This window comes from Homo sapiens, chromosome 10 (genome assembly GCF_000001405.40).
Source record: "Homo sapiens chromosome 10, GRCh38.p14 Primary Assembly".
In the NCBI taxonomy this organism is placed as follows: Eukaryota; Metazoa; Chordata; class Mammalia; order Primates; family Hominidae; genus Homo; species Homo sapiens.
Window position 1 is genome coordinate 43,669,763 of NC_000010.11, and position 8,926 is coordinate 43,678,688.

At 45.7% G+C, this 8,926-nt stretch overlaps 1 long non-coding RNA gene across 1 annotated transcript in view, besides 1 other annotated feature; it reads left to right on the forward strand.

Annotated features, from left to right (window-relative positions):
* The window catches only part of ZNF32-AS3 (ZNF32 antisense RNA 3), a 45,883-nt gene extending 40,946 nt beyond the window's left edge, over positions 1 to 4,937 (forward strand). The window contains exons 2-5 of the long non-coding RNA NR_038867.1: positions 1,359 to 1,759; positions 1,956 to 2,316; positions 2,546 to 2,683; positions 4,072 to 4,937. This is a non-coding gene — a long non-coding RNA (ZNF32 antisense RNA 3). The remainder of the gene's footprint in view (positions 1 to 1,358; positions 1,760 to 1,955; positions 2,317 to 2,545; positions 2,684 to 4,071) is intronic.
* Positions 1,460 to 1,629: an enhancer, noted in NCBI's record as "experimental_12364 CRE fragment used in MPRA reporter constructs". NCBI's record gives its function as "activates a minimal promoter by MPRAs in K562 erythroleukemia cells, with activity observed for the introgressed 10:44166755 variant allele {active_cell/tissue: K562}" and the evidence as "EXISTENCE:reporter gene assay evidence [ECO:0000049][PMID:34662402]".
* Positions 4,938 to 8,926: the final 3,989 nt, after the last annotated feature.

Below are 8,926 nucleotides of genomic sequence, written 5' to 3' on the forward strand. Positions count from 1 at the left end.
AGAAGGGAAGGGAGGAAGAGAGCCCATGAGTCCTTGAGCCCCCTGGATAGTTCTAAACAGCGCTGGCCAGTGACCAGGGGTACTCTGCCTTCCAGATCCGGGTGAGAGTGGAATCCCACCTTGGCCTGGGCTTGGTTGGCCATGGTGTTGTGCCATTGTCCTCTGTGCACTAAGGAGGCAGTCTTAAAGCATGTCAACCACTGTCCTGCATGAAAGTGTTAGTGCTGAAGTTTAATCATGGTGTGTGGCTGAGGAGACGGAAACTAGTTTGTATTTTTATTCTTTTGAGACAGAGCAAGACTCTGTCTCCCAGGCTGGAGTGCAGTGGTGCCATCATAGCTAGCTCATTGCAGCCTCGAACTCCTGGGCTCCAGAGATCCTTCTGCCTCAGCCTCCTGAGTAGCTGGGACCACAAGCACGTGTCAGTATGCCTGGCTAATTTTTTTAATTTTTTGTGGAGACAGAGTCTCCCTGTGTTACCCAGGCTGTTCTTGAACTCCTGGGCTCAAGCGATCCTTCCGCATTGGCCTCCCAAAGTGCGGACACTACAGGCGTGAGCCACTGTGCCCAGCCGTAAACTAGTTTTTAAAGCTGATCAAGGGCTTGGTCACTTCATGTTGGACAAGGGGTTGGGTGAGTCATGACACTCAGCCTTTCCCATGCAGTGTCTCTTTCCCAAGGGTTCTAGAAGGAGGTGAAGGGGCCACCAGACCCCCATGCACTGCCCTCCCCCACAAAGACCTCTACTGCACCCCCAGAGGACCCATTGTACCCACGCAGGCGTCTTCGTCCTGAGCCTGAGCTGTCACAACACTGGAATCTGCTCGCTTTTCCCTGGGACAGCTTTGTGTTACTAGAGTTGGGTCTGAGGTTTGCACATCATGTCGCCCGCCCCAGGTCCCCCCAGGCCAGACACAGGGCACTTTGAGTCCCGGGCCCCCCAAGTTCCAGCTGATATGTACTATGGGCTTCCTGAGACTTCCCCGGTCCTGGGCACACCTGTTTTGCTGTGGAACTCTTGACTTGGCTTCTGCCTTTGCCTAGAGTCCTGGAAATGTCCAGAAGCCTGGGGGCGGGGCCAAACAGATCACCCTGTATCTTTCTTCCCTGATTCCCTAGAGCAAATGGCAAACGTTTTGGTTTTAAATCAGAGACAGTGGACCTCATAGTCTTTGAACATATCCCTTGGTCTTGGTCTCTAGCTCTTTTCGTTTTTCATTTTGAAACCTGGGGGTCTGTTGCCAGGCCTGGAATCCTGGAGCCCCATCACAGGCAATCTCTTGCGTGCTGTGGCTTCTTGACTGCACCCAATTGTGGTCTAACTCACCCTTTTCTTTCACCTCCTGTTCTCTCTCCAGCCTTGCAGCTTCAGGACTGCTGATCCTGATTATGCTGTGCAAAGGGTGTTCGTTCCACGGTCACACTGTCTCTATGAGGCAGCAACGTCTAGGAGTGTTATCCCCATTGAGGGGGCAGATAAACCAAGGAAGGAGGAGGGCAGGTGCTGGCCCAAGTCACACACAGATGAAGGCACACATGGTCACGCATACCTGGGAAAGCTTAGCAGCACTCCTGGCTCTCCTCAGGAGTTCATAGAACCCTGCGCTGTGTGGACCACCGAGCTCAGAAGGGTTGCTGTGTGATGCTCGAATCAGGAGGCTCTGATGGACTCTTCCCTTCTCTGTCTCTCCAGCATCTGACTGAGGCACGTTTATGGGACTCTGGCGAGGAAGACTCCGGTTTGCAGAACACCTCCAATGTAGGCAGAGCACCAATCTAAGCCTGCAGAGACTAGATAATAACAGTTGGAAGATGTCTTTCTTCCCTCCTTCCTTCCCCTTGCGCCCGCCCCCTCCCCAAACTAGAAAGTGATGGGATCTTTGTGTCATTTGCATGATGACTTCTGGGACTCCTGTGAATTAGTTGCTTCTTCCTTCTATATTTCCCCAACCCAGGGCCACTGCTTAAATTGAACAAATGATGCATCACAAAACTACAACGGGACTCTTCAAATTCACGGTCGGCGCAATCTGTATGTAATTGTATTGCAACAATTGTCCAGCAGATGGCAGTAAAGTGTCATGAAACAGAGTTGCCTGGTGACCTGTGCTGCACCTTTGTGAGTTAGCGGTGACCAGGCTTCACACACTGGACTTACTGGAGTCACTACTAAGCCAAGGCCACAGCAGAAAGAGCACTGCGTTTTGCATGACCTAGGGGCTCCAAGTCGGCCTGGCTGCACCAGAGCCCTTTCAAAACACGCGGTTTAGTTCAGGGCTCACATTGGCCATTGCCTGGTTTTGTTTGGCCAGCAAGGTAAGAATGGTTTTAACATTTTTGAATGACTGAAAAAAAAAAAGAAAATAATATTTTGTGGAAGGTAAAACTCACATAAAATTCAAATTTCAGGGTTTGTAAATGAAGTTTTGTTGGACACATGAGTGCTCATTTGTTCAGTGTTGTCTCTGCTGCTTTGAGTTGAGAAGCCGCCGCAGACACCGTGTGGCCGCAGAGCCTAGAATATTTACTGTCTGGCCCTTTACAGGAAAATGTGCAAAGCCCTGGATTGCTCCTTTGGGACTTCATCAGCTGCAAACCCTCACAGTATTTTTGTGTGTTTGGAAGTAAGAAGAGAGCAAGCGAGGGCCGAGACCTAATGGGAAGACCCGGCGGCTGGGAGAAGGTGGTTATGAGCTCTCTTATTCCAGGGCACAGCACCCTGTCTGGGAAGTCGGGGGGCAGGCCTTGGCAGAAGTGATCCCCCTCAGTCCTAGGACTAGCTGCAGTTCCTGTGGCCCTGTCTTCAACGTTACATTCTTGCTTCAGCATCCCTGCTGGTCTGAGGGTCCTAGTCCGTGCACCAACTTTGATTCCTGGACCTAGCAGAATAATGCTTCCAGATTTTCAAACTCCTTGGGTGACAATTTGAGCATCTGCTAATGTCAGCCCTGTCTGAAATCCCAGCTGATTTTCAACACTGTGTAAGGGAACTCCTTCATGAGTCTTGGATGGGTAATGGATGATAGGGTCAAGTTGACATTTGACAAGAACTTGCTAAACTCTGAAAACCTGAACTTACAGTCCCTGCTCTAGCAGGCCTGGGTTCTCATGGAAACATCCTCAACAGACCAACTCAAGAAAGTAATTTCCACAGCAAATTGATTTCCCAGAATATGTTCTGTTAAAAGAAGTATGGTTATGATATCTGATCAAATATTCAGCATTATCAGGAAATTCAGCTGTCTCTACCTTCAAAAAAGGTCCAGAATCCAACCACCTACCTCTTCCTCTGCTGTCACCTGGTCCAAGACTCTGCCACCTCATTCCTAAGGGTTATTGCAAAAATTTCTCAATGGCTCTCACCGCTTCAGTCCTTGGCCTGTTATAGGCTATTGTCAAGAGAGCGAGCACAGTGGCCATCAAACCAGCAGGGAGCTCCTCACCCTCCATCGCTCAAAATCCCACAATGCCCCTCAGCTCACTGATGGCCAAAACCCTCTGCCTTCTGGCCCTGTATGTCTCTGACCTTTTGTGTTTGAGCCTTTTCCAGTCTGTCCCCAGTGCTCTCCTTGCTATTCCTCTGGGACACTGGGCACACACCTGCTGAGAACATTCACACTGCTGGGTACTTCTGTCTGGAACACTCCTCCGCAGACACTCTTCTCTTCTCAGCTTTTGCCCAGATGTCCTTTTCTCCCCAAGGTCTGTCTCGACCCTCCTTCATGTCGCACTCTGTCTCCCCACCCCCTGGTGCTGTGCTGTTACTTACGCTGCAGCACTTATCCCCCAGCATCCTATTGGATTTGCTTATTTATTATCTAGTGCTGACTGCTTTTCCTTCTAGAATGCGAGCTCCACAAGGCCAAGCATGCTTTGTTTATTGATGTGCCCCAAGTGCTTGGAGCAGTATCTGGCATGCAGCAGGTGCCTAGCACATATTTGTTGAATGAATAAATAACGAAATGAATTCTTGAGAGGCAAGCCTGCCCAAGTACTGAAGACTGGGTTGGAACTGTAGGTACTTCCTCCATTAACAAATTATCTCAAAAAGTTTGGGTATTGTTTTAACAGGGCTCCTGGCCAGGATCCGTGAGTCGGCTTCTTGAAGTGAAAGACAGAACTCTCTGCTCTTCAGGTTCTATCAGTGCAAAGAGGGCCCACTAAGACCCACTCTGCAGGGCTGTTGAGGAAAGCCCCATCTGACAGGCACCCGACAAAGCTCCTCACACTCCGTAAATGCCACCCATCATGAATGTGGCTATGATTAAATTGTGATGAGGACTGTGACCCACAAGACTGGAAAACCAGTTTGGCACCTTGATGCAGATGTTTTCAAGGACTGGGTTAGAGAATACATACCATCATTCTACTTTTAGCTGTTTTGTTTCATTAAAACCTTTTTGGTTTTAATGAAACAAACCATAACATGTATGACAACCATAACATGTATGACAACATAGCATGACAACCATAACAAGTACAATATTTTGGCCAATTTCATTTAATTTGGCACATAGAATGGAAGAAATATTAAGATATTATTTTCTACATGACTATGTAGCTGGGATGATTGGAACTGAATCATTTATTGCACATTTGAATGGTTAATTTTATTATGCTCACATTGTGTACATATTCTGTGGCTTATATATAATCAGTAAATATTCTATGACTTATTCCTCTTCAGAAACATGTGGAAAGATGAACAAAAAACAACCACAGCATGACAGGGTTAGGGAATTCTAGAAATGGAAAAGATGTTAAAAATGGGTTTATAGTAAAATCCAACATCTAGAGGAAGGATTTAAAGTCTAAGCAGAAACCCTTTCTGGCGGTCTGCAGAAGTCTCCCATCTTGCTAAAGTGTCACATTTGGCACATATTCCTGGAAAACGTTTTAGTGTTTTTCAATTAAATTCCTTACTGCTGTCCCTCTTGCCAACCTGCTGTTAACTTGCCTCCCGTTGCTGCACCTTCAGTGATTTTCCATTTCCTTTAGGACAGACTCCAGAGAAACTCATAATCTGGCACCAACATATTAAGACTGTTACTTCTTTCCACGTGTCCTTTGTCCCAGTCTTGGCCTCAGTGTGAGCTCATATTTCTGTGATAGGGAGCCACCATGCTTTGGGGCTCTGGAGCCAAGGGGGCAGGCGTGTCACGGAGGCGTTGCCTCATCATTGGGGCTCTGGGGTTCTTCTGTTACCTCTTTTCACACATCAGTGTGGTGGAGGTTGTGATGAGCCGAGAGGGAATGTCAGTGTTACCAAGCAACCATGAGCCTATGAGAACCCAGTCGGGATTATGGCCACTTGCACTGCGGGTAGCAGGCATTTAGTACACAGCAAGGACCTGTGCATGGACAATCCTGTGTAGTGTACGAATCACCTCGTGCGTGCTTGTCTATTTCCTCCTGTAGCTAAAACACTGCTCACAAGTCCTTCCACAGTTACCTATTAAATAATAGTCACCATCTTTTAAGGAACTGATAACTTCTGTTATTTTAAACTGTTCCAGAACACAGCAAAGGATGAAACAGTCTTTATCTTGTTTTTTTTTTTTTTTGTTTTTGAGACAGAGTCTCTCTCTTGTCGCCCAGGCTGGAGTGCATTGGCTCACTGCAACCTCTGCCTCCCAGGTTCAAGCGATTCTCCTGCCTCAGCCTCCTGAGTAGCTGGGACACATGAGTAGGCGTCCACCACCATGCTTGGCTAATTTTTTGTATTTTTAGTAGAGACAGGATTTCACCTTGTTGGCCAGGCTGGTCTCGAACTCCTGACCTCAGGTGATCCACCTGCCTTGGCCTCCCAAAGTGCTGGGATTACAGGTTTGAGGCACCTTGTCTTCCATTCTTTAAAGGAGAAGAAAAAGGTAACAAATCAAACAAGCAGTGCTCTCAAGGATAGTGCATCCTGACCAAGAAAGGTTTGTGAGCAATGCAAGGATAGTTCAACAAAAGGAAATCTGTGAACATTACTACCATGTTACTAGAGTGGAAACAGAGTAACCTTGTGATCTGCAGAGATGTCAGAAAACACATGTGAGAAGCTGTAAAACTCTTCCGCAAGCACCACTACTGAGTGCAGTGCTTGAAAAGGTAAACACATATGGCTGTGACCTTTCATTTTTTTCCAAGAGAGTAAATACTTTCAGGGTTAAATTAATATTTTCTCTAAGCTGTGATTCTCTGAGTGATTCTGCCTGTCAGTTAAAAACTATCATCTCACTCTATCTTTGGCTCCCTGTTTATGTCTTATGGCTATTAACTTTTTTTGAATTTTAAAGATAAAAGTGCAGGCAGAGCCCATAGATATTTTCACTCCAGGCAAGAAGTGGAATTAAAGGTTCCTGAGATTCAGAGGGGCACATGCTCCTGTGCTGATGGCCAAGAGCCTCCAGGAAGGGCTAGGAGAGCAGCTCATTTCAAATGGAAGAGTGTGAGCAGGGCCACAACCATATAACCGGTCACGCTTTGACCTTTCTCATTATGTGGATTAACTGGAGGATTCGTACAAATGGTGTTTTAATCATAAGTTATCAATTTAAACCAGACAAAATGCTCTTGGGAATTCTTCATTCTGTGAAGGGGTTTTTATAAACTTCCATGATTTTTCACCTAATTCTCCCTTGTTTACTTTCATTGGGACATTGTAATATTTTATAATTTAGACTTTTCACCTTTGGAAATAAACCAGACTTGGAAAAAAAATTTTGTCAGAAATTTGGATGCATTTAGTAAGCTGTGTAATTTATGTAATCAGGACTGCTAATTTGAGGAAGTAGGATGGTTGGAGCCCAGCCCGGGCCAGGTCAGCACTGGGCCTCCTGACCCCATCTTAGTGAGTCTGGTGAGTCTGTGGCTTCTGGGCCGCATCTCCGTCTTGAGCCCAGTGGAACCTGGGTTTTCATGGTACCCAGCACAGAAACGTGTGGCTGAAAGGGACTACATTAGAAGCTAGTTGTAGTCTTCAGACATTTAATGAGATTAGCAGATGGTTTCTCGCAGGATAACTCACTGACCACCCTTTGGGCAGAACTGGACCCACTTGAATGCGGCGAATTTGTCTCAAAGATGTGTGTAGTGGACACAATTAACCATCCAGTGTTCTTATTCTGAAAAACCCCCTCCGGGAGACAGCCCACTCCGTGATGCACTATTCAGCACTTATTCTCATCCACATTTTCTCTTGAATTTCTCCTGTGTTCTGTCTTCTCCTATCTGGGATGAAGCCGACGACGCATCCCGGTTCTTGCCATGGAGCTGGTTGGCTTCACTGGATTGGCAGACTCTTCCTCTAGCCATACTCTCTTGGGAGGGGTGCAGAGTGCTTGTTGGAACGGTGAGACCTCTTGCTAGGCAAGAATAAGGAAGCATGGAGTGTGATTTTTACACAGCACTGAATTTCAGTCATGAGGAGATGGAGCTGACACTGTGGCAGAAAGAAGGAAATGAAGAACTCCGTGCTATTGGAGAGCCCCTGGGCTAACCAATTCTGAAGCTGTGTTAACTCTTAGACTTAGTGGTTATGTGTTTTAATTTTTTTTAAGCCAGGCTGCGTTGGGCCTCCTCTTACATATACTGGAAAGGTCCTGAGTAATACAGAGGTGAGAATGATTCTCCATAATTTTGTGAGTGTAAGATTTTTTCACTTCCCTTTCTGTGATGCATCCTCACTTATGGCCTTGAAGTTACAAATATCCAAAACTAACCATTTCTTCCTTTGAATTGCTTCTTTTTAAATATTGTTTTGAAGCCCCAGGAGCAGGTAGTAGTAATAATAATAGCAGTAGCAGTATTACGACTATTGGTAGTATTAATAATAACAACTCATATTGAGTGTGTGTTTCCTATTTGTTGGGCACTCTCCTAAGCATTTTATGTGTATATTTTGTAATCTCTACAGTAACACTTTGAAGCCAAGATCACCATTTCCCTATTTTACAGAAGATGACAACTAAGGCAGGGAGAGGTGCCTAATGCCACACTGTTAGTGACCAGAACCGGACGCAGGCACAGTTGGTCAGGTCTCAGGGACCTGCATTTCACTGTCTCCAGAAGCGCATTTCAACTCTCTTTAAGCAGGGAAGTGAGTTTTATGGTGGATTTGGAGTTAACATTTCATTTTTCCTTTGTAATTGAAATCATGATTTATTATTATATCTGCCCCACAAGTACTATTCCGAAAGAGTCTGAACCAAGGACTCATTATATATTATTAGATTCCTTATATATTTTCATTTTAATGTACTTAATCTGTCATAAATGTATATTAAAATAGGTACAATAAAACATCCCAGGACACTTGTTTATTCTACTTTGTCTTTGTAATTCCTGCAGGAGTTACTTCATGTGTTGGCATAGCATGTTATTTGAGCCTCATGTGATGGTGAGGGCTGTGTGTTCTTTTTTGCTGGTGCCTCTGATCGTCATAACGTGATTCACTTTGTATCTCTGCATGCCTTTTCCTTCTTCTAGAATTCTAGTTCCTGTGTGTTGAGTAAACATTAAAAAAATCTATCGAGTCTAACTTGTACCCTTCCCATCAGACAACTCTGCCCTAAGATGACTTGGGGACCATGAACAAAAGGCACAACTTGGCTTCTTTAAAAGATTATTTATTCCTCATTTATTCTTTATTTGCGAGCAACAAGCAAGCAAACAAAAAAAAATGAAGACAGAGGGCAGAACCGGAGATATATGGCAGATGCAATGATACTGCTGATGCTTAGGAACTCATAGGCAGAGAAGAAAGCAGGGGTGGCCCTCAGGGAAACCTAAGGGGCAGTGTTCCACTTTGGGCAGCTGGCATGAGATTTTCATCTTCTTATCTGGGTGTAGTGGAGGCAGGGAGCGATGTCTGGAGACTGCACCATCAGTCAGAATCCAGGCAGGAGAAGGGTTGTCTGGGGACTGCATTGTTCTCTGC